The 27881-nt window shown below is 56.5% G+C and overlaps 2 long non-coding RNA genes across 3 annotated transcripts, besides 6 other annotated features; both read right to left on the reverse strand.

The window, feature by feature from the left end:
- Nucleotides 1–5866: 5866 nt before the first annotated feature.
- On the reverse strand, nt 5867–9505 carry LOC105375118 (uncharacterized). Of its 2 annotated transcripts, none has more exons than XR_926965.4 (3): nt 9328–9505; nt 8287–8449; nt 5867–7603 (listed from the first exon to the last, which is right to left on the reverse strand). It is a non-coding gene; the product is annotated as an uncharacterized LOC105375118 (long non-coding RNA). The 2 variants fall into 2 exon arrangements; XR_926966.3 differs by having other exon boundaries at nt 8310–8449; nt 9328–9429.
- Nucleotides 8976–9165: a silencer, noted in NCBI's record as "silent region_17804". NCBI's record gives its function as "represses an Ori minimal core promoter by ATAC-STARR-seq in GM12878 lymphoblastoid cells {active_cell/tissue: GM12878}" and the evidence as "EXISTENCE:reporter gene assay evidence [ECO:0000049][PMID:35858748]".
- Nucleotides 9425–10086: an enhancer, noted in NCBI's record as "H3K27ac-H3K4me1 hESC enhancer chr7:373151-373812 (GRCh37/hg19 assembly coordinates)". NCBI's record gives its function as "activates a minimal SCP1, AML or CMV promoter by ChIP-STARR-seq in naive H9 embryonic stem cells {active_cell/tissue: H9 hESC(naive)}" and the evidence as "EXISTENCE:reporter gene assay evidence [ECO:0000049][PMID:30033119]".
- Nucleotides 10087–10746: an enhancer, noted in NCBI's record as "H3K4me1 hESC enhancer chr7:373813-374472 (GRCh37/hg19 assembly coordinates)". NCBI's record gives its function as "activates a minimal SCP1, AML or CMV promoter by ChIP-STARR-seq in naive H9 embryonic stem cells {active_cell/tissue: H9 hESC(naive)}" and the evidence as "EXISTENCE:reporter gene assay evidence [ECO:0000049][PMID:30033119]".
- Nucleotides 12429–13240: an enhancer, noted in NCBI's record as "H3K4me1 hESC enhancer chr7:376155-376966 (GRCh37/hg19 assembly coordinates)". NCBI's record gives its function as "activates a minimal SCP1, AML or CMV promoter by ChIP-STARR-seq in naive H9 embryonic stem cells {active_cell/tissue: H9 hESC(naive)}" and the evidence as "EXISTENCE:reporter gene assay evidence [ECO:0000049][PMID:30033119]".
- Nucleotides 13241–14050: an enhancer, noted in NCBI's record as "H3K4me1 hESC enhancer chr7:376967-377776 (GRCh37/hg19 assembly coordinates)". NCBI's record gives its function as "activates a minimal SCP1, AML or CMV promoter by ChIP-STARR-seq in naive H9 embryonic stem cells {active_cell/tissue: H9 hESC(naive)}" and the evidence as "EXISTENCE:reporter gene assay evidence [ECO:0000049][PMID:30033119]".
- Nucleotides 19833–20462: an enhancer, noted in NCBI's record as "H3K4me1 hESC enhancer chr7:383559-384188 (GRCh37/hg19 assembly coordinates)". NCBI's record gives its function as "activates a minimal SCP1, AML or CMV promoter by ChIP-STARR-seq in naive H9 embryonic stem cells {active_cell/tissue: H9 hESC(naive)}" and the evidence as "EXISTENCE:reporter gene assay evidence [ECO:0000049][PMID:30033119]".
- Nucleotides 21101–27180, reverse strand: LOC124901809 (uncharacterized). The gene is made up of 2 exons (XR_007060633.1): nt 24425–27180; nt 21101–21379 (listed from the first exon to the last, which is right to left on the reverse strand). It is a non-coding gene; the product is annotated as an uncharacterized LOC124901809 (long non-coding RNA).
- Nucleotides 27181–27881: the final 701 nt, after the last annotated feature.

A 27881-nucleotide genomic window follows, 5' to 3' on the forward strand; every position in this document is an offset into this window, starting at 1 on the left:
TCTAGAATCGAAATAGAGTCCATTAAGATCTTTAAACTACATGTGTTGTCATTCTGTCCGTTGACAGTGGAAAACCATTTAACACATTGTTTTGTACTAAAGCAAACACAGATGTCCTCTGGAGTTGAATGCAAAGTTTCCATGAAATCCTGTTTAAAAAACAGAAATGTTGAAGCAATTTTGAACCTGGTGGGTGCTGTGTGGGGTTGTGCCCCCAGATCACAGTGGGGCCACACATTTGGCGTCCTCTGATTTTACAGGTACGCCCACAGAGATGTTTGAGAAACCACACAAAACCCATGGTCCCCACTAACAGGGTCATAGGAGAGAATTTGCTGGAAGTCTGGAGGGATGTCAGTGCTGGTGTGGGCAGGACACCAACGCCACAGGGTGGGGTGCGGGGTTGGCCCCCATGGCCACTCTAGCAGTGACCATTCCAGCCTCATGTGCATTGGGGGAGGCCAGCGTGGGGGCAGTGCTACGAGGAGGGACTTGTAGACAGGCCGGGAGGTCGTACTTGCAAACCCTTCCCTCTACGTCCCCAGGCAGCATCTCCTCCCATCTTTCCCTGGACCTCCCACCCCAGCCTCCCCCAGCTCTGCCCTCTCCTGAGCCCCAAACCCACCTCTGATGGTCAAGAGTCATATTAATAGAGTGTTGAATTTTAAGGTAAAAGCATGACTATCCTACAAATATGAAATGCAGCGAGGATTTTATTGAACGCCTTAATTAGCAAGGAAACCAATAAGACGTTAGAACTGGCTCACAGGAGAATTCAAAGCACATTATATAGAAAATAAGGAATGGGCCGGGCACGGTGGCTCACGCCTGTAATCCCGACACTTTGGGAGGCCAAGGAGGGTGGATCACTTGAGGTCAGGAGTTCAAGACCAGCCTGGCCAACATGGCGAAACCCCATCTCTACTAAAATTACAAAAATTAGCCGGGTGTGGTGATGGGCACCTGCAGTCCCAGCTACTTGGAGGCTGAGGCAGGAGAATTGCTTGAACTCAGGAGGCGGAGGTTGCAGTGAGCCGAGATCGCGCCACTGCACTCCAGCCTGGGAGACAGAGCGAGATTCTGTCTCAAAAAAAAAAAAAAAAAAAAAAAACAAGGAGCACCGAAGTGGATTTACAGATGATGTAATGATCGACGGCATTCCACCAGACAAGGTTAACTTGCATTTTTACGGACACGCATCATTTGTATTATTGTATTATTGTCAGGTTTCTGCAAAAGAGCGTGAAAGGCCGCAAGACCCCGGAAGGGTGCGGGAGACGGGACACACAATCCTTTTTGCCCATTTCAAAGTCTTAAAATTTTCCCGACACAGGCAAAACTGCCTACTTACCCACCATTGTCCCAAACACTAAAGGTCGCAAGCCAAGTCGGTCCTTACCTCCCCCGTCCCGCCAGTCAGCCCCATGACCGTCTCCGCAGGTGTCTGGGTCTTCACCCATCTCCTCTCCGAGTATGAGCCTCTGGTCTGCCCAGAAGCTGCCACCCGCCACCTCCCTGTCCCTCAAGGGTGTCATGTGGGAGTGGGTTCCACAGGCCCAGGTTCAAATCCTTTACTGGCTGTGTCATCTTGAAACCTGTGGTTCTGTGTCTCAGTCTCCACATTTGAAAATGGGAGTGGCATTGGCAGCCACCTGCCCACCCTTCTCCTTCCACGATGGAGGGAGACGTTGCTGCCGAGTGGTTGTGAGGACGGCGTGAGTCCACAGTGTGGGGTAGAGCAGACGGCTTCCAGTGCCCCACCCAGCCCCTCTCCCTTCACCCACTGTCTCTGCCCCACACACCTCCTGGCCCCAGCCCCCACACCCCACCTCCCCCCTCTCCAGCTGCATAGACCTCCCTCCCTCCAGCCGAAAGCATTCCTAGCTCCTGATCATCTTAAAAATAAAACCTGAATGCCTTGTGCAGGGGCAAGCTCCCTTCCATCCGGCCCTGAGTTCCAGCTCTGGCTCCACTGTTCAAGCGTCCGTCCCCCACCCATCCGTCTCTGTGTGCTTGGGCCAAGCTGCCCACAACCCCTCTTCCAAAGGAGCCGTGATTCCCTCACATTCGTCACACAGTCCTCTCCCCTGGCCGTGTGCTCACACAGTCCTCTCCCCTGGCCGTGTTCTCACATAGCCCAGGCATCCAATCAGGGTGCTCCTCATGCAGACTGCAGGGACAGACACATCCTCTCTCCTGGGCAGGGTGGGATATGCGATGTGAAGCCTGGCACTGCAGCAGCTATTTTGTGCCCATGAGGAAGAGCTGGCTTTGGAATAAGGCCAACTATGCAGAGGGCAGAGATGGAAAGAAATTGAGGCCGTGACAGCCTCGTTGAGCCGCTGGGTCAAGCCAAGCCTGAACGCCACCTGCCTCCAGACCTCCCGGCATCAGTCCGTTCCCTCTCAGTGAAGGCAGTTGATTTGTCTTTTCTGTTCCATGCAGCCCATTGCTTCCTAACTCATTTCTTCCCCTCATCTGCACCTGTAGCTGGTTTCTGTCCTTGTGCTGTTTTCCTGGATACCCCAGGCACTGCGTGGCCTGCTGTCTGTGTGTCCAGCCCACTCACTCCCTGTCCTTCCCACCAGCTAGCTGGCACTTATGGCCAAGTTTCCAGAGACCCACAGAGGTGGCCACTGCTCAGAAACAAGGCTTGTTCCTGGGGCGGTTGAGACAGAGATGGGCGCTGGTCCCCGTGTGAAGCTGTGGATACACCAGTGGGCAGCTGTCATGTTCAGACCCAGGACCCAGTACCCGGCGTGGCCGCCCTGGCTGTCGTCACGGCTTCTTTTAAGGGGGCAGAGCAGATTGGCACAGATGTCAGGGGCCCATGCATGTCCCTTGGCCTGGGGGACTTAGAAGTTTTCTCTGTATTTGGTTTCCCCTCTCTCAGCACTTTCTAATATACAGACTAAAACCCCAACTCACTGGGAGGCCAGGATATCAACGGGCTGGAGATTTATGAGGGAAGAGCCGGGTCCCACCAGCAGGCACTAATAGCTCCCTAATTCCTGTCATTAGTTAACGAGAGCCCCTAGGTTCTCTCTACACAGCAGCTCGAATGTAATTACCAGCTGGGAGTGCTGGGCACACAGGCCTTGTGTCCTGTGTTTTGCAAAATTCCCTGAAATGCACTTCATGATTCTGGAAGCTTCAGTCGGCTTGCAATTACAAGTAGCCCTTATTAAAAATCCATGCAGCCTCCCACATCAAACAAAATTAATCAGTAACAAGCTGTAAGGCTATTAGGTCATTTCCCAACACAGAGCAACTCAGGAGTGGCCCTATCTGATTGGCCCATGCACGGAGGCAGGAATTCTCCCATGTTTCTCTGAATGCCGTGAGCCTGACATGAGATGTTTGTCTTTGCTTGAATTACGTTTGGGTGTTATTCTGCTGAATCTATTCCCATTGGCCTGGCAGGCTCACTTTGCAGCGCACACACCACCAAGATGGTCATCTCATTTTGGCCAAGAGCATGAGGAAACATGTGGTCCCTGTTAGGGGAGGACCTCAGGTGTGGCCCTCCTCACCTCAGCCAGGGGGCCGAGCAGGAGCTGTGAGACAGGGTCCTGCCCAGTCTCCCCGCACCCACCTTGCCCTTTGCATGCAGCTCTGGCGCACAGGCAGCCAGGATGAGTCCTTTCAGCAGGCGCTTTGAATCTCATAGCCACTGTCCTTCCCGTCCACCTGGCCCATCCCGGCCCGCCAGGCACCTGCACTGTCGGGTCTCTGCCGGCCTCTATGCCTGGCTCTTCACTCTGCCCACTGGCTGCCCCATGGTGGCCACAGCGACATCTCCCAGCCCAGCCAGGGGCTCTTCTTATGAGAGACTGATAGGAAGGTGGGGTCCAGGCCCCTGCCCTGGCCTCCAGGGTGGGCTTGTGGCAACGGCAGAAACCATCTGCGTGACTTGTGGGGTCTGAAGTCACGGGAGGCGTCGGTGTCAGCCTGGTCTCTGGGAACAGGCACGTGCAACCCCGAGCTGTCCAGTTAGCCGTCTGGATGCTCCGAGGCCACCGTGCTGTGAAACTATCGCACGTGGAGAAGCCCTGAGACCATGGGGAGAGAGAGAGATGCCCGCCTGCCCGCCACGGCTCCCAGGCAGAGCCTTGGCTCATTCTAATCTCTCTGCCTGGACCTCTCCTCCCCGCTGTCTCCACGCGGCCGGCCCCTTTGCATTCTTCACCTCTCTGCTCAGATGCCACCTCCCCTTCATATCACCCTCTGTGAGGGAAACGCCGGCCCCATGGTCCCCCACAACTCCCTCCCTCAATGTCCCGTTCATTCCCTCTTGTGGGGTGATGCTGGTCACAATTCACGCTCCCATATTCACTTGCTGACTTGGGTATTGTCTGCTTCCCCAGCCAGAACATGGTTTCCCACACCTGCCTGGTTCTCTGTTGCTTGCCCGGGGTGCCTGGTACGCAGGACACGCTCAGGATCATGGCCCACTGCCCCGCTGCCCGGACAGGTGCGTAGAGGGATGGTGGCCATTCCCCTCCGCCTCTGTTTCTGTTGAAGACTCTCCTACCCAAGGTTTTACCCTTGAAGGAAATCTTTGCCACTTCGTTGGGCCAGTAAAATGTCATTTTTTTTTAAGTACTGGAGAGGAGGGTATGTTTTTCCTGTGTTCATCGTGGGTGTTCCTTTTTTCTCTTAGAAATTGCTTGGCCAGTCCTCTGCCCATGTTCCTGTCGGCCACAGTCCCCTTTCAACCCACCCTGCTGCCACCCGGAAGGCCTGAACGCCAGCGCCCGTGATGACCTCGGTGCCTGCCCCTCACCTGGGGCCGCCCACCTGTCCCCACCCAGGCTGTGTCTTTGTGTCTCTCTATGTCTTTTTCAATCAATTTTGAACAACTTAAAAGCGAGGATTGATTGAATCTTCTACTCTCTTGTCCCTGCAACACCCAACATGGCAGCTTCATTCCGACAATATTGTGAGGACGATATAGAGGCTCAGTAAGCACTTGCTATTTGCTCGGTTGGTTGGTTAACTTCGTTTAGTTTCCCGTAGCTCTGGCCTCAGTTAGCAAAGTTAATGACATTAAATAGCATATTTTAGCAGTAGCAAAAACAACAAACTTCTAGGAATAAGCCTAATAAGAAATATGCAGGACATCGGTCGGGCGTGGTGGCTCACACCTGTAGTCCCAGCACTTTGTGAGGTCGAGGCAGGCGGATCACCTGAGGTCAGGAGTTCAAGACCAACCTGGCCAACATGGTGAAACCCCATCTCTACTAAAAATACAAAAATCATCCGGGCGTGGTGGCATGCGCCTGTAATCCCAGCTACTGGGGAGACTGAGGCAGGAGAATCACTTGAATGAGGGAGGTGGAGGTTGCAGTGAGCCGAGGTTGTGCCACTGCACTCCAGCCTTGGAGACAGAGTGAGACTCCATCTAAAAAAAAAGAAAGAAAGAAAAGAAATATGCAAGACATACATTTAAAAATATTAAAATACTGCAAGCCAAAGTTAACAGATAGCCAACCAACTGAGGAAGAGGTATTAGCAACTCATACGGTAGACAAGATGCTACTTTCCCAAATACATTTAAAAAAACCCTCCTGAAAACAATGAGATAAAGACCAGCAAACTCATCAAAACATGAGTAAAGAACTTAAATGGGCAACTGGCTTTTTTTTTTTTTTTGACAGAGTCTCGCTCTGTCGCCCAGACTGGGGGGCAGTGGACCAATCTCGGCTCACTGCAAGCTCCACCTCCCGGGTTCACACCATTCTCCTGCCTCAGCCTCCCGAGTAGCTGGGACTACATGTTCCCGCCACCACGCCCGGCTAATATTTTGTATTTTTAGTAGAGACGGAGTTTCACCGTGTTAGCCAGGATGGTCTCAATCTCCCAACCTCGTGATCCACCCGTCTTGGCCTCCCAAAGTGCTGGGATTACAGGCGTGAGCCACAGCGCCGGCCGGCAACTGGCATTTTAACACATAGAAAGACACCCAACCACACTGGTAACAAGGAAACACAAATTGAAACTAAATGGAGGTTCCATTTTATGACGGGTCAGACTGGCAAAAAGCAAAATGCCAGGCAACCCTCAATGTTGACAGACTTGTGGGGAAGCAGGCGCTCTCGTACATAGCTGATGAAAGGACAAGTTAGCACAACGTTTATGGCCACGAAGTTGGCAACATCAATAAAAATGTAAATGCATCTGCCCTTTGGCCCGGCAATTCTGCTTATCCTATAGATACCATTGCGCACAGGTGAGGCCGTCTATGTGTGAAATTACTCACTGCAGCATTATTTACAATGGCCTAAAAGCCCGTTGATAAGAGGTTGTTATATAAATCATAATAGATCCATAAAGTGAAACACAACTGTAAGAAAAACGAGGAGGCTGGGCACAGTGGCTCACACCTGCAATCCCAGCACTTCGGGAGGCCTAGGCGGAACGCTGGGCAACATGACGAGACACCGTCTCTACAAAAATAAATTAACCGGGCATGGTGGTGTACACCTGTGCTCCCAGATACTCAAGAGGCTGAGGCGGCAGGATGGCTTCAGCCCAGGACGTTGAGGCTGCAGTGAGCTGTGACCGCATCACTGCACTCCAGCCTGGGCAAAAGAGAAAGACCCTGTCAAAAAACAAAAAAATAAAAAGGAGTCCACTTTTGGCTTCCATCAACCAGGTTGGAGAAAACAAATGACCACATGTGTCTCAATGTGTCAGAGAGTTACCAAGGCAGCCAGGACCTGAAGGCCCAAGACATTGTGGGGGAGGGAAACGCGTTGAGGTGACCCGAACTTCTGCACCCTTTGGGGCAACCGCAAACTCATAACTGGCATGAGCAGAGATGCTGAGAAGCTGAGCAGGGAGGTCTGCTGAGAATCCGAGAAGCTCAGAGGAGCTTTCAACACTGTCGTGCCAGCAGGAAGACGAGAATCAGAGTGCAGGACTGCTCACACAGCCAGGGCTTGGAGAGACAAGATCCCGGGGAGAGGAAAGGATCCCAACAGTCCAGGGTGTCTGTTTGCAAGCAGCACAGGGTGAGCGCAGAGGGGCTGAGCAGAGGCTGCTAGGAATCTAAGCAGAACTGCGGGAGCCCTGCAGTGCCGGAGAGGGAAAGACGGGCTCAGACCTGTCATGCCAGAGGATCCCTCGGAAGCACCTGAAGCTTTCATATGGACCCCTGAAGGACAACCTCTCCTCTCAACTCTAGATTTAAATCCAAGAGGTTTCTTGAGCTTGAAGTCCAGCAGGCATCTCAGCCAGGACATGCTCAGAACAAACTCCCCATTGTCCTCCCTGCACTGCCCTTCCCCACTCCCCACTGGGTCAGCGTGGCCTCATCCCTCTAGCTAGTTAGGCGAGACCCTGGGCTCAGCCCAGACTCTCCTTTCCTCTCATCCCCACGCTGAATCTGTCAGCAACTCTTGTTGGCTTCACCTTCAAAACATACCTGGAATCAGACCCCTTCTCCCCACTTCAGCACCATCCTTTGGCCCAAGCAACCATGTCCTCTCCCCCGTCCCCCGGCACTAGTACCCAAGCCACCATTTCCTTCTTTCTGCATTGGTATAATAGCTGTCCGGCTGGTATCTCAACATCCACTTGGTCCCGAGAGACACACCACCTGCAAAAGTAAAATCATTGTGCTGACACTGACAGCAAAGCCCAAAACCCTTAGAGTGACCCACAGGATCCAACCTTAGAGTGACCCACAAGATCCTATATTATATCCTCTCTCAACTGTTTTTAATGAAACTTTTATTTTAGATTTTATGTTTAGATTTTTTTTTTTTTTTGAGACGAAATTTCACTCTTGTCACCCAGGCTGGAGTGCAATGGCTCAATCTAGGCTCACTGCAACCTCCACCTCCTAGGTTCAAGCAATTCTCCTGCCTCAGCCTCCCGAGTAGCTGGGATTACAGGTGCCTGCCACCATGCCCAACTAATTTTTTTTGTATTTTTAGTAGAGACGGGGTTTCACCATCTTGGCCAGGCTGGTCTTGAACTCTTGACCTCAAGTGATCCACCGGATTTTATGTTTAGATTTACAGCAAACTTGTGGAGATAGCACAGACAGTTAGGTCTACCCTGCACCTGGCTTCCTCCATTCCTGGCATCCTACCCGAGGACAGGGCACTCGTCACATTAAGGATGCAATACTGGCACACCAGCATTAACTAAACTAGACCTTTATTTGGATTTCATTACTTTTTCCCCACTGGGTTCCTTGCGATTTCCAAACCTGCCTGTGACTGAACTATTGGTTAATGAAACTATTTATTTTTTAAAAGTATTTCTTAATCCCACCTGGCCCAGGAGTGGACACAAACCCGTGAGTCAGGTTCCGGGACTCACAGGTCCCCATCTGAGACACATGACGTAGAGAGTGCCGGGGAGGTCAGGCCGCTGCCGCTGTGTGTTTCAGGGTTGGGGGCTGCCCTCCGGGGTGCCAGGAGCTCCTGTGTGTACACTGGGCAGGACAGAGGGCGGGTGGTGAGGTGCTGTGCCTGGGAGCTTGTCCAGGCCCGATGGCTTTTCTGCAGGCTGGCTGAGGAGCTAATTATCGAGGCGGCGGACCGAGGGTGTTTGCCTCTTGACCTTTTGTGATGCCGCCTGTCGAAGCACGCTTGGCCTCTTCCCAGGGGAAATGCTATCCGAAGTGCGAAGTTGCCCACCGCTGGGGTAAGGGGAGAGGGCGCCGCAATCACCCAGCCCTGACCTGGAATGATCATTTCCTGGTGTGGTGTGGCCGTCCCGTGGATGCTGACAGCCCCAGGGGCAGGGGTGAGCGGGCTGGGGGCTCTGCCGGCAGGTGCCAGGGCAGGGGTGGGCGGGCTGGGCCCTCCCACCGGGCGCCGGGGTCTCCCTGGTCCACACACCCTCGCCTAGCCTCAGACCGCCAGGGCTGGAACTGTGCAGGCTGCGGACTCCAACAAGAACACCCAGTGGAGGGCCTGGGGAGAGGCTTGGAGGCGCTGAACCCAGTCCCGTGCCCCCACCCCAGGAGAGGGCTCCTTCGTCTCCACGTGGCCTCGGGCCCTGCAGGTCCCCCGAGGGCGCAGCCGCCAGCAGGGGGCGCCTTTCTCTAACCTCCCGGGGAAGCGCAGGTGCCGCCCGCACCTCAGACAGCGCTGCCGCCCGCGCCCGCCCTGCGCCGTTCCGTTTGCTCCGGTGTCCCCCAGCTTGGGAGCGGGGCCCCCCAGCCCTGGTTTGAGGCATGACGTTGGTAGGAAGAGCCCCTTCCGTGGAGCGCGGGGCCCGCCGGGGAGGCGGCCCTGGAGCCCCCTCCTCCCACCCGCCCAGGATTGACAGTCCCTGCCTCGGGCGCCCTCTGACCCCCGCGCTCACCGAGAGAGGACGAGGCCCCAGACAGGTTGGGCCGCGATGCAGGTGGCCCTGGGCTCAGGTCCCAGCACCGGGGTTCCTGCTGAACGAGCTCCGCCCTTGCCCAGGGAGGGGCCGGCGGGGGGGGACCCTGCGGAGGGCATTGTCCTGAGGGCACCACGGCCCGGCCGCCCCGCCCAGCGCCGCCTGCCCTCTGAAAGGCCTTTCATCCCGGAGCCGGCAGCGCCACTGGCCGCATCAAAGAGCGTCTATGGAAAGTCATATTTTTCCCCAAACCAGAAAAGTTCAGGCTGGGAGCACAGACATTCAGCTCATTATTTAGAAATAACAAGTCCTCTGGGCCCTGGTATCAGATCAAAGCTCGGAAATTAAATTCTCCAGAAAAGGGGGCGGCCCGGGATCAGCAGATTTGTGTTTGCTTATTTTTTTTCATTCAGCAGCTAAAAAAAGGGACTCAAAATCTGCCTAGCGGTTTGGAAGTCTGGCCCGCGGTGTGTGAGCGGCGAGGAGAAGCGAGCTCCGGAGGCTTCTGGGCGTGGAGGCTGAAAATATTTGGTTGACATGACAATGGGGACGGCCTGGCAGCTTGTCAAGCGCCGGGTCCAGGAATGTCCTTGTCCCGCCCCACCCCCCCAAGCCAGTTCAGACACAGGCACGCACATGCACGCAGAAACACACACACACACAAACGCGCACACATGCACACATGCACGCAGAAACACACACACACAAACGCGCACACATGCACACATGCACCCACATGCACGCAGAAACACACGCACAAACAAACGCGCACACATGCACACATGCATCCACATGCATGCAGAAACGCACACACAAACGCGCACACATGCACACATGCACCCACATGCACGCAGAAACACACACACAAACGTGCACACATGCACACATGCACACATGCACCCACATGCACGCAGAAACACACAAACGTGCACACATGCACACATGCACCCACATGCACGCAGAAACACACGCACAAACGCACACACATGCACACATGCATCCACATGCACGCAGAAACACGCACAAACAAACGCGCACACATGCACCCACATGCAAGCAGAAACACACGCACACACGCGCACACATGCACACATGCACACATGCACCCACATGCACGCAGAAACACACACACACAAACGCGCACACATGCACCCACATGCATGCAGAAACACACACACACAAACGTGCACACATGCACCTACATGCATGCAGAAACACGCACACACACAAACGTGCACACATGCACACATCCACCCACATGCACGCAGAAACACACACACAAATGTGCACACATGCACACATGTACACATGTACCCACATGCACACAGAAACACACGTGCACACACAAACGTGCACACATGCACACGTGCACCCACATGCATGCAGAGACACACACACAAAAGTGCACACACACACGTGCATCCACATACACACACAAACACATACAAAAGCTCATACATGCACACACAAACATGCACACACAAGCACACACACATATACACAAATGTGCATACATGCACAAAGAAACACACACGCACACGCAAACACATACAAACGTGCACACATGCACACGTCCACCCACATGCACACAGAAACACACATGCAGGCACAGACGCATACACACACACACAAACACGCACATATGCACACATGTACCCACCTGCACACAAACACACACATACATACGTGCACACAAGCACACATGCACCCACATGCACACACACAAATGTGCACGCATGCACACATGTACCCACGTGCACACACAAACATACACACAAAAGCTCATACATGCACACACATGCACACACAAGCACACACATATACACAAATGTGCATACATGCACACAGAAACACACACACAAACACATACAAACGTGCACACATGCACACGTCCACCCACATGCACACAGAAACACACATGCAGGCACAAACGCATACACACACACCCACACACCCACATGCACACAGAAACATGCACACACATAGGCACACATGCACCCACATGTAAGCAAAAACACACATGCAAAACCCATGCACATACACATAAGCACACAGAAACACACACACAAACACATGTGCACACACAAGCACACATGCACCCACGTGCATGCAGAAACACACAGTCATACAAAGCACATGCCTATGCACGTGCACACACGCTCACTCACACAAACACAAACATGCATACACACACGTGCCTGTGCACAGATGCTCACCTGCCCAGGAGCTCACATCCCCAGGGCACACATATGCCATATTTACTCGTGTACACACAGGGACACTACAGTGGTTAAAACCAGCTGGCACAAGAATCAGGAGTGTGGCTCTTTGCTCTTGCCCCAGGAGTCGGGGCCGGTTTGAAATTTGTGGCACACCAGAGGACCACAGACCTGCTCTAGAGAGCGCAGGGGCCTTGCTGCCTCCAGATGTGGGCAGAGACGCCCTTGGCAGTGATACTGCCTCTTGCTGTTCCATCCTCATCCCCTCCAGAGGTCCCCAGGCCCTGGCTGCAGGTTTGCGTGGCCCACCAAGGGTCACAGGTGCACAGAAGGCACTGGGCACGGTGCAGTGGCCATCACATTCCCCTGGGGTGCCCTGGATGGGGCCACCTTTGTCCTCTCCAGCTGGGGCCATACTGGGATTATGGCAGAGGTGCCGGCAGGACAGGAATCTCTAAGAAGAAAAGACCACATAGCCTGTGTGGAGGGCAAGAGGGAAGGTGGGCCCCTCCTGGCCCCACTTCTGTGCCCCTAAGCATGCCCAGGTGAGCATCCTACACCTGGCCACTGGGGCACCTGACTCAGGTCCAAGCCGAGCACCATAGTCCCACTCACAGGGCACCAGGGTTGCCTCACTTATGGGCATATGGCCCAGTCTCAGCAAATGAGATGGCAATGCTTTGGCTGCCCAGGCCCCAATCCTGAGCAGCATGGACGGGGGGACACCCGGGCCCCTCCACCACCATGGGGACATCCAGGGCCTCTACCACAATGAAGGAGGCCCATAGTGGTAGACAGTTCTCCACCACCCAGGCCCCTCTACCATCATGGGGGACATCCAGCCCTCTCCACCACCATGGGGATGTCCAGGCTTCCATCGTTCCCATGATGGGGAACATCCAAGCCCCTCATTATGGGGGACATCCAGGGCTTCTACCAGGATGATGGAGACCCAGGCCTCTCCACCACCACGGAGGACGTCTGGGCCTCTCCCCCACCACGGGGACGTCCGGGCCTCTCCCCCACCACGGAGGACGTCCGGGCCTCTCCCCCACCACGGAGGACGTCCGGGCCTCTCCACCACCACGGGGACGTCCGGGCCTCTCCCCCACCACGGAGGACGTCCGGGCCTCTCCCCCACCACGGGGACGTCCGGGCCTCTCCACCACCACGGAGGACGTCCGGGCCTCTCCACCACCACGGGGACGTCCGGGCCTCTCCACCACCATGGAGGACGTCCGGGCCTCTCCACCACCACGGGGACGTCCGGGCCTCTCCCCCATCCACGGAGGACGTCCGGGCCTCTCCACCACCACGGGGACGTCCGGGCCTCTCCACCACCATGGAGGACGTCCGGGCCTCTCCACCACCACGGGGACGTCCGGGCCTCTCCCCCATCCACGGAGGACGTCCGGGCCTCTCCACCACCACGGGGACGTCCGGGCCTCTCCCCCATCCACGGAGGACGTCCGGGCCTCTCCCCCACCACGGAGGACGTCCGGGCCTCTCCCCCACCATGGAGGACGTCCGGGCCTCTCCACCACCACGGGGACGTCCGGGCCTCTCCACCACCATGGAGGATGTCCGGGCCTCTCCACCACCACGGGGACGTCCGGGCCTCTCCCCCATCCACGGAGGACGTCCGGGCCTCTCCCCCACCACGGAGGACGTCCAGGCCTCTCCACCATCATGGAGGACCTCTGGACCTCTCCACCACAACGAGGGAAGCTGTCCCAGGACAGGGCCAACACCACAGATGGCCCAGGCAGCCAGGTCCTGGGTCACATAGCAGAGCTGAATCAAATTCACCCTGAAGTCCACAATGGCAGCCAACCTAAGAGTCTCACAAGCCCATTTAAACCCTTTCTTATGTGGGGTAGTCTGAGCCGGGCTTCCTCCTAAATGCCACAGACATGAAGCCTGCGGGCAGAGCCCCTCCTCCAGGCATCCTCCTGGCCTCTGTGAAACAGTCCCAGGTGCAGAGGCTGACGCGTGGACACAGGCCCCACGGGCAGCCCCAGGTGCAGAGGCTGACGCGTGGACACAGGCCCCACGGGCAGCAGGATCAAGGGCTCCCCCAGGCGCCGCAGAGTCGTTTCCCTTCAAAGCCTTGAAGTCAGCCCCGCCCCTCGCAGAGCCCTTTCTTGCTATATAAGGGAACACCAGGTTCCAATGTGGGTATCGTGTCTCTTTGGGTGGGTGGGCGTTATTCTGCCTTCTGCCTGTGCGTGTGTGAACAAAACAGACGTGTGTGCACCCGGCCCCATGCCCACCTGTGTCTGCAAACAGACAGACAGACAGACACGCTGCCTTAGTCCAGATTTCCCAAAAAGCAGAGTCTGAGGCAGGGATTTCGGTGCAGGTGGTTTATTTGGGAGGAGACCCGAGGAAGCCGGAGGAGCGGAGGGGAAGTCAGGAGAGGACATATCCATGAGCTGACCGCTGCCCTGGCCACTGCTAAGCACACACGGGACCCCGTAGCTAGGGATGCGTCTGTGGACTTCGCGCCCCAATCAGGGCCTCCCTGGACCAGTGGAGGAGCCTGTCGTCCTGGTCCCTCATGGGTGAAGCTTGTTAACCCCGAGGGCCCCTGGACCAGCGGAGGAGACTGTCGTCCTGGTCCCTCGTGGATGACGCTTGTTAACCCCGAGGGCCCCTGGACCAGCGGAGGAGCCTGTTGCCCTGGTCCCTCGTGGATGATGCTTGTTAACCCTGAGGGCCCCTCACCAGAAGAGAGGCGTGTTCGGGTTTAACCTGTGGAGAGGCTGATATCCTTGCAAACGTCTCCCAGCACTCCTGCCTCTAAGTTTAGTGCCACACAGAGACCAAATAAAGGGGAAGGAATGGGAAACATCTGGAAACACTGACAGTGTGACTCTTTTTTTCCTAAAAAACTGATAAAAATAGTGTCATAGACAAGTTCGTTTTCTAGGCAATGTTATTTTAGGCAGGATGTGTTAATGGCATGAGAATTAGTACAAATTAAGTAATTAGGCTAGGCTGGCAGCTAGAGCTGGCAGGCGCCAACAGCCCGCAGTTCGACAGTTTCTGTCCTGACGCTGCGTGTTTGACAACAGCGGTGAGGGAAGCATGCCACACAGCAGAGGATGCGGGGCAAGGGCACGGGTCGGTGGCCAGGGTGCTCTTGAACACCTGTGTCCTCTGGGTGTCCCTCTGGGACTCGGGGACAGGGCAGCCCAGACTCAGACTAATCCCGTGGGCCTGGAGTGCTCAGTGGACACCAGGCCAGCCAAAGCCCTCCTGCCGGCTGTCTGGGCAACGACCTTCACTCTGGACAGAGCTGTGGGGCCAGGAGACCCTGTGAGGCTCACCGACCCCCAACCCGGTACCCCGCTCTCTTGCAAGGGTGTCTGCCTGTGCCAATTTTCACAGCAGCGGGTGGGTTCCGTGGGCCTCCACAGGTGCCTGGCTGGACAGCAACGTTGGTGATGGCTCCCTCATAGCGACCCGCTCTGAGAGAACTGCTAGCCCCTTTCACAGATGGGGAGACTGAGGCTGCAAAGATGAGCGGATTTCCCAGAGCATCAGAGCCGGGGGTGGGAGAGCTGGATCGCTCACTCTCCTCCATACCTTCCCAGGTCTAGGGCAGGCAGGACTCCGTGCAGGACCCCCAAGAGCCCCGCTCTGTGCGACGAGGATGGCAGCGTCCAGGGCACGTCCTGGCTGCCGGTGTCCTAAGGGCAGGATGGGCAGCTCTGCTGGAGGCCTCCAGGTGCTGCTGGTGGGAGCCATGCACCCAGCAGCTCTAGCACGGCAGGTTGCTGTGCATGGCCCAGACAAGCCCCTCCTGTGCTCTCAGCCTTAGTTACCTCCACTGCAGGAGAGGGCTCCAGGCTCGTTGGGAGGGTTTAAAAGTGAGATGCACCCTGGGGGACACAGGAAACACTCAGCAACCATCATCCTTGCCGCTACTGTGGGCCCTGGACACACCCTGGACTGAAGTCCTGTTCCCTCTGTGACCTCCCAAAGCCCAAGCTTCAGTTTCTCTCTTAGTCAGTCCATCTTCCAGAGAAACTTAGCTTTCAGCAGAATCTCCTTTCTTTCTTAATTTTTTTTCTTTTTTTGCGACAGGGTCTTGCTCAGTCACCCAGGCTAGAGTGCAGTGGCGTGATCATAGTTCACTGCGGACTTGACCTCGTGGGCTCAAGGGATCCTCCGCCCTCAGCCTCCCAAGTAGGTGGGACTACAAGTGCACGCTGCCACACCCAGCTAATTTTTAAATGTTTTGTAGAGACCAGGTCTTGCTATGTTGCACAGGCTGGTCTTAAACTCCCAGCTTCAAGCCTTAGCCTCCAGATCCTTCTGCCCAGCCAGAACATTCCCAGATGGAACCAGGTGCCTTTTCCCCATTATACTCCACTCCCCTCTCACTGGTGCACCCCCAGTGCATCCCAGCACCTTGCCCAGCACACACTCAGTGCCCAGAAATCATTCACTGGGGGCTTGGATGGCCAAAGCCCATACCAGCCCCTCCTCCCCAGAGGCGGCCCTCCATCCCCAGGCTGCTCCAAGCTCCGTAGGAAACAGACCACATGCCTCCCTCACAGCACTGGGAAATTCCTGGAGGCGGCCACCATTTGGGGCCTGCCATCTTCCCACAGGGGCCTCGGAGGAAGCCCCAAGACCCAGCCTCTGGCTACCTTGTGACATCCTCTCCTAAAGGACTGGCCTAAGCAGGAGAGCAATTGGATCCCAGCACGGGTCTCACTTTGGATTTGCCAAAATCAGGACTTAAGGCAACGGTTCGGTGGAGGATGTGCTTTGGGAGGTGGTCTCAGAAGCACAGGGAAGGTGTGGGTTGAAGACCCACAGAGGAGCAGGTTCTGCTGCAGGCAGCTGGGGCTCCACCGTGCTGGCAACCCCTGAGGAGCTGTTGTGAAACACACCTCGACGCCACCCTATGGAGGGACAGGAATCCCGGGGCATCTCCAGGACTGGCATCTGTCACTGGCCTGAGGTTGCCCCTGGAAACAATAACACCTGGCACTTTGGGGCTGTCCTGAGTGAGGCTGAAAACGTTTCCAGCCCCCTATGCGAAGCTGCAGTGGCATACAGGGACCTGAGAGAGGCGTCAGTCAGGGTGCACGGGAGCCGTCCGATGCACCTGCAAGTGGACTGAAAGGGGACCCAAGGGGCCGTGGGTCAGTAGGCTTAGTGTCTATTAAAGCAACAAATCCCTCTGAGGGAGGAACGGCACCATCTGTGTGGCACCCCTCTACGCGGCACACGGGAGGGTGCAGTGAGTGTGCCATGCACAGGAATATGATAGCGACCTTGCCCGAGGGTTACTGAGGAACAGGGAAAAGGCTGTGTGAGGCTCCTGGGCATCTCATCGGAATACATTACCGTGCACAGCAGGGCTTAACGCAACAGAAGGGCGTCTGAACTGAGGAGGCCGGCAGGGTGGGTCCCCCTGAGGGCCACGAGGGAGCGTCGGCTCCAGGCCCCTCCCGCCTCCGGTGCTGGCCGCGGTCCTTGCCACTCCTTGTCTTCTGGCCATGCCACTCGGATCTCTGTCTCCATGTCTCTGTGGCCCGCTTCTCTCTGTTCTCCTCTTCTGATAAGGACACTTGTCATTTGATTTACGGCCCACTGGACATCCAAGAGGATTCCAGCTTGAGGTCCTCAGCTAATTACATCTGCGAAGACCCTGTTTCCAAAGGTCACATTCGAGGGTTTGGGTGGGCACGAATTTTGAGGGGATACCGTCCGATCCGGTGCAGGGACTTTCCAGCCGCAGGCTCTAGGGAAGGCTCTGTGCTAAAATGCATCCCCGGTTCACACTGCAGGGCAGGAGTGTGCGGGCGGAAGGAGCCATGCTGTTGAGGGGCCTGGGTAACTGTATAACCTGAGGGTCTCCATGTTTTCCGGCCTGCGTGGGTGCCTCTTCCACGTGAGCTCTCCCACCCCCCCACTCCAGAGGGGCGTCCCCTCAAATTGTCATCTCTCACCACCCTGGACTCTTCAGGGCAAACCGAGCACTGCTTAATGGAAACATTGTTTCTTCAGAGGTGACAATTCCCCCACACCAGCGTCGTCTCCAGCCTGGGTAGTCGAAGTGGGGTTCCTGGGCCTGCAGCTCCAGCATCACAGGGCTCCGCCCCGACCTCCTAAATCACAAGACCCTCAGGCGATTCCTGCATTTGACAATGTGTGAGAAGCACCGGCCTGTGTGGCCAAATCAACGGACAAATTCTCCCCCGGCATCCACGCTTGTCCCCCGGCATCCACGCCTGACCCTAGTGGTCTTCATCTGGTCCAGAGCTGCCCGAGGAGACAGGACAGAATGCAGCAGTAAGGACGACATTTCCTTCTGCTCACGGGTCCACACCAGGCATGTTTCTGACAGCAAGGGTCCCCAGCAGCCCTCAACACTCCAGAGATACTGGGATCCGGTGTGTAGGTTCCCACTACCCCTGCTCACTTCAATGACTCCAAACTTTTTCTGACCATCAAGCATGTTTTTCTAGAAACCCTGTCTTGCCGGGGCAGGTGTTATCAGCCACGTCCTGGTCTGTCCTGCAAAAGGAGGAAATGGCCACGCGCCACCTCCTAGTTCACCTGCACCTGTGTGGGCAGGTCCCGTGCACCCTGACTGCTGCCACACCTGCTGGGGCGTGAGGACTTTCTCGGGCCCCTCGATGTGGCTGTGTGTCCAGCTCCCAGGCACTCAGCGCCCTGTCCCTTGTCCCCTGTCTCCCGCCCCCTTGTTTACCAGTGGGGAAGACAGGCCTGGCCGGTGGGGGTGTGAGTCTGTCCCTGGCCCCAGCTGTGGAGCAGCTGAGCTCATTGGAAACCAGGCTGCGGGCCTGAATGCAGCCCTTGTCTCCTGGCCCCTGTTAATAGCCTCTATAACTGCCCAGCATTTCTATTGACTCAAGATAAGTTCCGGGGGCCGGAGAACAGCTCACTGTTTGGCACATGTCTGCTGGCCAGGCCTGGCCAGACCGGGATGGCAGGGTTTGGTGAGTCCTGCAGGCCAGGCCCCAGCGGTTGGTGCTGGCAGCTCAGCAAACAGCCTGCCCGGGCCACATGTTGCCCTCCTTATCCCTCGGGCCCCGGCCAGTAACCTTGCGGCGATTACACTATCAGCCTCCCTTGGCAGTGCCAGCGTGTGACACACGTCACATGTTCTCGAAACTCTGTCCAGAAACAGGTGTTCGAGGTGACATCATATCTGACCAGAGATCACTAAGTCTTCCGACTTCTATCAATATTTGCATTTCCAGCTCCACGGAGAATCTAATCAGACTTCTGATGACACCTGCCGTGTTTCTGACCCACTGTGCTCCTGGCTGTGGGTATCGAGCCCCCGTCTCCACTCATTTTGGATTTTTACCCTCCTGAGGGCCTAGTGAGCTGACAGGAAGGGCCTCTGGGGTGGCCAGATGAGGGGAGCAGAGCCAGGGGGTCAGGAAGGAGGCCCTGGAGCAGGAAGAGGTGGGGTCCAGGCTGCAGGCCTCAGCCTGGGTAGGAAGAGCCCTTGCTGGGCCCTTGGCCTTTGGTGGCTCTGTCCACACCTCTCCAGGACAGAAGCTCAACATGCAGGCCCCAAGCGCAGCGGAAGACCCAGACTCCAATGGCCAAATCAGGCCCAGTCCACAAGTGCATCCCAGAGGCCGGAGCAGGGCAGCCCTTGGCCACCAGACAAGAGCCAACACTCTGAACCACCACGGATGGGTCCCTGCTCTAGCGGAGGAAACCGCACCCTTTTTAAAAGAAAGAAGCAGAAATAAGAAAACAGAGCCCCGTGGCACCTGCAGGCGGTGGCGTCTCTCAGGCCTCTGGAGCTCAGGCTCTGGGGAGGGGTGAAGCCCCTCGTGGGCAGTGAGTCCCCTCTCAACCAGCCCCAGAGGGCCCCAGAACCCCAGAGAAACTCCCAGCAGCATCTGGGGTTGTATCGAGAAGCCACGAATTGGAGATAACGCCCACCTAATGTCAGAACAAATACGAGGCTGAAACCAGAGAGGCCTGGGAGAGATAAGACAGGCGCTCGCCCGGGCCGTGACCCCCGGCCACCCGCACCCCCATCCCAGCCCAGGAGAAACAAAGCCTCCAGAGCCTCCCGCGTTAATCATTTCTGGGCAGTCCGGGGCAGGGAGGCCCCGTTTCTTGGCTCCCTGGAGGCCCCGCCTGCCAGACCAGGCCAGACCTCGAGGTTTCTGGGGGTTCCCGTGCCTGGAACCCAGCACCGTGAGACCAGAGGACCCAGCAGTGAAGGAGGCAAACCCTGTCCCCGAGCTGCACACGCTGGAGCTGCACACGCTGGAGCTGCACACGCTGAGGGTCAAACGTGACATGCAGGCTATTCAGAGAACCACACAACCACACTAGTTAGCGGACAAAGGGCGGCGTGCCCTGAAGCCCGGGGCCGTACAGCACTGTGGGGTTCCTCACAGGCAAGGGGGATGCGGTAACAGCTTGAAGACGCACATTCCGACTTCAGGAAGCGCCATGAGGCCGGGAAGGGCTCCGTGCCTGTCCCTGGCTGAGGCTTCACTGGGCATATGAGGAGCATGAGAGGGACAAGCTCCTCCAAACCCAGGCCCATGTTGAAGTCAGTGTCCCCCAGCTCCCCTGCTGAAAGAACTGGGTGTGACTGGGCAGGGGAGGGAAGGGGAGGGGAGGGCCTCTCAGGATTCCGAGGAGTCTGTGCTCATGGGGATGCCCAGGCCGCCCCCCAGCCACTGGCAGAGAGGAGCCGTGGTGCCCAAGCCAGGCGGTGGGTCAGAGGCCGAGCGGAGCCTGGCTGGCTGGCTGTCCATGGGCGGCCTCGGTCCGGTTCTTGTCCATTCTTGTCCAGGGCAGTGAAGCTCAGCCCTGCAGAAGCCGAGTGGCTGGGGGGAGCCTGCTTGCACCCACCCGCGGGCAGAAAAGACGCCCTGGCTGGGTGGGGCGGGGAGTCTAACCCCTGCCCTGGCAGGTCAGGTCTGCGGCAACTTCTCCGACATGGGGGGCAGGTGGTCTTCTGGGCCAGGCTGGGAGTTGGCAACTGGGAGAGGGAGCAGGAGGAGAGGGAGGCTGAGGGCCCTGGGGGCCACTAACAGGGGAGATGGGGAGGGCCAGAGTCGCCCCCACAGCGGCCACAGGACAGGACAGCGGCGGGACAGTGGCTGAACCCAGTCCCAGGTGCCAGGTGCTCCTCACCTGTGGTGGAGGACTCCACGCACACGCCAGTGGGATCTTCCTTCGAACGGACACATTCCAGGGGAGTGTAGATTATTGGGCTCACACAGAGGAAGTCGGGAAGCACAGATCAGGACCTGGGAACCCCGTTCAAGACCAAGCAAAGACCTGGGCCACAGAGCAGCAAGAGCTGGAGTGTGGGCTCAGCCGTGTGACCCCAGGTCCTCCCTGTTTCCATGAAGGAGAGGCACGTTCCAGGCAGGGCAGGAGAGCTCAGCTGGCCCCAGGCAGGGAGCGTGTATGCAGGTGCGTGCTCGTGTGTGCACGTGTGTCTGAGCGCGTATGTGTGCGTGTGCAGAGTGAGAGCGTGCTGACCCTGGTAACAATTTGAATTCCAAAAGCTTTATTATAACCTTGCCTTTGTTCGTGGATGTTCAGTGAAAAGGTATTTTCCAGAGCAAACACTATCGATCCGGTGTCATGAATCCTGGACCAATGGTCTAACCTTGAAGTCCGTTTCCAATCAATTTTTCATTTGCCTGAAATTATGTTCACAGAGCTCATTTTTCTTCCATTTCCGTTTTACAACAAAATTATGATTTACTCTGAGTTCTTTGTATCCGTGTTCATGATCACGGCTTCTCACACGGGGGTCCTTTGGGAACCTGTGGACAGGGTGAGATCAGTCGCTGGGGCAGATGCAGGCCTCTCCCCACTCACTCCTCAACATCCCCATCTTTGTGGAATCAACATCCACTTTTTGGGAGGTCAAATGTTGCAAAATTCTTTCCCTCTAGCCCAAAGGAAAATTGGCTGTGGATATGTTAGTGGGTAACGATTACTCTGTATGGACGATTTCTGCTGTTTTTTTTACTTCTTAGAGAATTATGTGATCTCCTGAGCTCGTGATCCACCCACCTCGGCCTCCCAAAGTGCTGGGATTACAGGCGTGAGCCACCACACAGACCATCCTGGCTAACACGGTGAAACCCCGTCTCTACTAAAAATACAAAAAATTAGCCGGGCGTGGTGGCTCACGCCTGTAATCCCAGCACTTTGGGAGGCCAAGGTGGGAGGATCACGAGGTCAGGAGATTGAGACCATCCTGGCTAACACAGTGAAACCCCATCTCTACTAAAAATACAAAAAAATTAGCTGGGCGTGGTGGCGGGCGCCTGTAGTCCCAGCTACTCGGGAGGCTGAGGCGGGAGAATGGTGTGAACACGGGAGGCGGAGCTTGCAGTGAGCCGAGATCATGTCATTGCACTGCAGCCTGGGCGACAGAGCGAGACTCCATCTCAAAAAACAAAAGAAAAAAAAATGAATTATATGAAAGGCTGATATTTTGTGGGGTTTTCGTGTTGTTTTGTCTTGGTTTTGTTGTTTTGGTTTGTTTTCAGTGAATCCTGGAGAAAATCGTGAGCTATTTTATGTGACTGAGAAAAGAGAGAGACAGGAGAAGAGGGAGAGGGGGAGGCAGAGGGGCGCAGGAAAGAAGAGACAGATGGTCAGGGTGGGCAGGGTGTGAGCGGGACAGCCTCCAAGCTCCACAGGATGCATGATTTGTGTCCCCTTGACTGGGTCACGGGTGCCTAGTATCCGCCTAAGCATTATTTCAGGGGTGTCTGAGGGGGTGCTTCCGGAAGAGCTTGGCATTCGAACTGAAAATGAGCGAAGATGCCTCCCCAGTGTACACGGGCACCACTCCAGCCCTGAGTGAGGCTGGTTTGCACTCTGCCTGCCTGAACGGGATCATCTCATCTCCTCCTCCTCCTCTCCTGCCCTAGGACGGGGCTCACTCCATCGGCTCCCGCGGTTTCAGGCTTTCAGGCTCGACCGGAACGCACTGTACAGGCTCCCTGGGTCTCCAGCCTGCAGACGCAGGTGGTGGGACGCCTTGGCCTCCTTAGTCGATGAGCCTGGTCCTCACGGGACATCCCTATACCTCTGCCTCCTGTTGGTCTGTTTCTGTGGAGAACCCTCAAAAACACACCATGAGGTCAAGAGCCCCCAGCCTGGAAGTGATGAGGTTGTGTCTCACGCCAACCACCACCGCTGCCACCCGGGGTCACACGCCAACCACCACCGCAGCCGCCCGGGGCTCACACGCCAACCACCACCGCCGCCGCCCGGGGCTCACGCGCCAACAAACACCGCCGCCGCCCGGGGCTCACACGCCAACCACCACCGCCGCCGCCCGGGGCTCACACGCCAACAAACACCACTGCCACCCGGGGTCACACGCCAACCACCACCGCCGCCGCCCGGGGCTCACACGCCAACCACCACTGCCGCCGCCCGGGGCTCACACGCCAACAAACACCACCGCCACCCGGGGCTCACACGCCAACCACCACCGCCGCCACCCGGGGCTCACGCGCCAACAACCACCGCTGCCACCTGGGGCTCTCATGCCGACAAACACCGCTGCTGCCCAGGGCGGCCTCTGGCATCGGATGTGCAGCGGTGGGCGTGCTTTGGGCCTCAAGACTCAGACAAACACCCCAGTGACAAGGGGGTGTGGGCGGGAGGCAGGGGGTGGCCACGTGGTCACCCTGGGAACCAGTGGGGAAGACCATATGGCCAAGGCCACCGCCCCTCCCATAAACCCTCCTGTCCCTCCCAGAAACACCCTCTAGGGTGGGCCTCTGAAGCTAGTGGAGCGGGAGTCCCCCCAGGGTGTCTAGACATCTCCCTGGTCCACAAGCAGACACATGCTCTGAGTGAGACGGGCCGGGCGACCCCAGCTCTTGCCTGATCCCTGGACACACGTTCTTGCCCTTGGAGACTGAGGTTCCTCCTTGGTGGACAACATCAAGCTCTGCCCAGGGGTCAGGGCAGGGCCTCGGCGGGCTGTAGGGATCACCCCAAGACGCTTCCAGGTAGTCCTTCCCTCGGGCCAAAGATGTGGCCAACAATTTGCAGAAGGGAACGACGCCAACGCTGACCCCTTTGCCATCACTGACCCCTCCACCAATGCTGACCTCCACCAACACTGACCCCCTCCGCCATTGCTGACCCTTCCACCAATGGTGACCTATCTGCCATTGCTGACCTCTCCGCCAACGCTGACCTCTCCTCTGTCGCTGACCCCTCCGCCATTGCTGACCTCTCCGCCATTGCTGCCCTGAACTCACCTTGACTGGTTCAGAGCAGAACCAACGGCCCTGCCCTCCCGGAATCTTCCCGCACTTGGGAACAGCAGTTGCGCTCGCTTCTGCCCCTTGGGAAGCTGCCCACAAGCCCTGAGGGGCCTCCCAGCCATGGAAAACCCTGCCCTGTGGGTTGCATTCCACCAGCCTGCCCCACAGTCCCCGCTGAGTAGCGCGGGAAGGGAGGCTCCTGACCCCCCAGCCCCCCTCCGCTCCTCACCACGACCTTCTCGTTGACCCCAGGCCGCGGGGACGGGGTTCAGGGTCCCTGCCACCAATCCCATGTCCACTATTGCCTCGACAGAGCTCCAGCCCCAGGGTGCATGGGGCAGCTGAGGGGCCCCAGCTCCATCCCAGGTCTGAGCCATTCCTGAGAAGGTGGAAGACAGCACCCAGAACACAGAGGCCCCCACCGGGCGTCTGGGGGCAGGGCCACAAGCGGAGGGAGGGACATCTCACAGCAACATCTCTCTTGCTGGGCTGGAGAAAACCAATTTCCTCTCCCTGCTGTGTCTGTGGGCACGCCAGTCCCTTTTTAATTTAACCTGAATTAATTACCAGGGCAGAGGCAGGTGTTCCTCCTCGGTTTCTCTCTCCGGCTCTTTGCCTTGTCGCTTGCAAGCGCTGGGCAGCCTGCGGGGAGATCTGTCCAACAGTGCCAGGGTCCAAAGACCGAGGGGCCCCGTGCAGGCCTGGGCACTCACGTCCGTGGCACCTCAGGACCACCAGCAGCTCCGGGGGGCTCAGAATCCCTCCAGTCCCTGCTGGGGGTCCCTTGTTGCTTTATCTCTGCAGCTCTCGATTCCTAAGCCTTTCCTGAGTACAGAGATTCAGATTCTAAATCAGCACAGGATCAAAGAACCAGGGGCGACCCACGGACATCCTTGCTGGGCCCCGGAAGTGTGGCTGAGCCCCTGGTGGTCCGGGGAGAGCACAGCCTTCCAGGCCTGACCATGGAGACCCCGGCTTGGTCCCACCTAATCTCTGCAGACCACAGGTTGGTGACGGGTCTCTGGGATGAGGCTGGAGCTGGGAGCACCTCAGGCTCAAAGGAACTTAGCATTTTGCTCCAGGAATAGATAGCCCAGGGTGGGCGGCTGCGTTTCCATTTTCAACACACCCAACCTCAGCACAAGACTCCCAGATCTGCAACGGGGATGGTGACAGTCTCAGTCGACTGTGGCCAGAGGGAAGAAAGGCCCAGGGGCCGTCAGTGGCTTTCACTTCACTTTACAAACGGAAAAACGGTGTCCAGGCGGGGCAAGGTCAGTGGCAAAGACAAGATTCATGCTCAGGTCCCCTGGCCCCAGACACTGCCTCTCAGTGAACACTGGCTGCCAAACCTACCAGCATTCCTGAGACACAGAGAACCCAGTGGGGTCCTCACAAGGCCAGGCATCGAGGTCCTTATCAGGGACCCTCCAGAAAGGAGACCAGGCATCTCGTGTGCCCAGCCCCGCTGGGTGCTTGTCCCACAGGCACGGTGGAGGAGAATCAGCAAGTACAGGAGTCATACACCAGTGATCGGATGTGGCTTAGACTCAACAGGACCCACGGGCCCAGGACGCAGGAGAGGAGGCACTCGCCCACCTGGACCTGGACACCGCCCCTGCATGGGGGACTCAGGAGAGCAGGACCACGTGAGCTGCTGGGATACACATGAGCCGCCCGGGCAGCGGGTCTGCACCCCATGGGAAACACTGCAGAGAAGATAAGAATCAAATGTTTAGTGAAACAGGAATCCTAGCAGCTCCTGACCTGCACCAAGGACCGGGCTGGGAGCCAGGGCAGCCTCAGAGGCTGCCACGCAGGTGACCCAAGGTCCCCTCGTGATCCTGCCATCTCAGGCCCGGAGGAGAGCGTCCCATCTCCTCCCCGGAACCGCGGCATCTGGCAGCCGGCCAGCTTCGTGTGTCCTTAAAGGCGGGGTTCTCCACCTCAAGGGTGCGGCGCCCACCTCCTCCGGGGCCTGTGCCTCTTCAGGTCTCGCCTCAGTGCCAGCGGCAGACCCTCTCAAAGCGTGGCCTGCCGACGCCTGTGTCCATCCTCATTAACAGCCAGATTCAGGGACACCAGCAGGGTGTCACGGGGCAAGTACCTCATGTTCGAGTTCTCCACGCCACAGCCTTGCTGCTGAGAGACCACCCACTATGGAAAGAGCAGGCGTGCACAGCTATGGGTCAGCAGGGCCTCAGATGGACGGTCTCTCCCTCTGCAGGCTGTGGTCAGCAGGCCCCTGGATGCAGGCTGGCCCTGGATGGACGGTCCTCCTCTGCAGGCCGTGTTTGGTGAGTTCGGTTCACATGCATCTCGTCCTCCATGGTCCAGTTGGCTCACTGGACTGTTCGCTTTTCGGCCTGGGCAGGACCACAAGAGAGCAAGGCCGAAGAAACCCGCACTGGCACACATCAAAACACAACTCCACACAACGTCCAAAACTCATGCTCACACACATCAAAACACAACTTCGCACAACGTCCAAAACTCACACACACACACATCAAAACACAACTTCGCACAACGTCCAAAACTCACACACAAAGACACGACTTCACACAGCGTCCAAAACTCACGCTCACACACATCAAGACACAACTTCACACAACGTCCAAAACTCACGCTCACACACATCAAAACACAACTCCACACAACGTCCAAAACTCACGCTCACACACATCAAAACACGACTCCACACAACGTCCAAAACTCACGCACACACACGTCAAAACACAACTCCACACAACGTCCAAAACTCACTCTCACACACGTCAAAACACAACTTCACACAACGTCCAAAACTCACGCTCACACACATCAAGACACGACTTCACACAATGTCCAAAACTCACGCTCACATACATCAAAACACAACTTCGCACAACGTCCAAAACTCACGTTCACACACATCAAAACACAACTTCGCACAACGTCCAAAACTCACACACACACACACAAGACACGACTTCACACAACGTCCAAAACTCATGCTCACACACATCAAAACTTCACACATCCAAAACTCACGCTCACACACATCAAAACACAACTTCACACAACGTCCAAAACTCACGCTCACACACATCAAGATACGACTTCACACAACGTCCAAAACTCATGCTCACACACATCAAAACTTCACACAACGTCCAAAACTCACGCTCACACACATCAAAACATAACTTCACACAACGTCCAAAACTCACGCTCACACACATCAAAACACAACTTCGCACAACGTCCAAAACTCACACACACACACATCAAAACACAACACACAACGTCCAAAACTCACACACACACATCAAAACACAACTCCACACAACGTCCAAAACTCACGCTCACACACATCAAAACACAACTTCGCACAACGTCCAAAACTCACACACACACAATCAAAACACAACTGCACACAGTCCAAAACTCACGCTCACACACATCAAAACACAACTTCGCACAACGTCCAAAACTCACACACACAATCAAAACACAACTGCACACAGTCCAAAACTCACGCTCACACACATCAAAACACAACTTCGCACGTCCAAAACTCACACACACACACGACACAACTTCACACAACGTCCAAAACTCACGCTCACACACATCAAAACACAACTTCACACAGCGTCCAAAACTCACGCTCACACACATCAAAACACAATGTCCAAAGCTCACGCTCACACGCGCGTTGAAAGCAGCCGGAACAACACAATTTCCTCCAAGGGGAAATGCCGATTCGAATGACAGCGAATTTCTCATCGGAAACCATGCAGGCCAGAAGGAAGAGGCACAGGTTTTCGGGCTGGTGGGGGCTGCAGAGGAAGCCGGCGGGGCCAAAGCGTTCTGTGATTGAAGGCGCTGACATCGGCTTCCTGGTTGTGACACGGCGCTCAGCTTTGCGAGATGGAACCATAGGGGACATTGCAAAAAGGGCACACAGAATCTCTCCGTATTAATTCTTAAAATTGCACAGGAATCTACAGTTATCTCAAAATAAAAATTTAATTAAAAA

Source organism: Homo sapiens, chromosome 7, assembly GCF_000001405.40.
Source record: "Homo sapiens chromosome 7, GRCh38.p14 Primary Assembly".
NCBI lineage: Eukaryota > Metazoa > Chordata > Mammalia > Primates > Hominidae > Homo > Homo sapiens.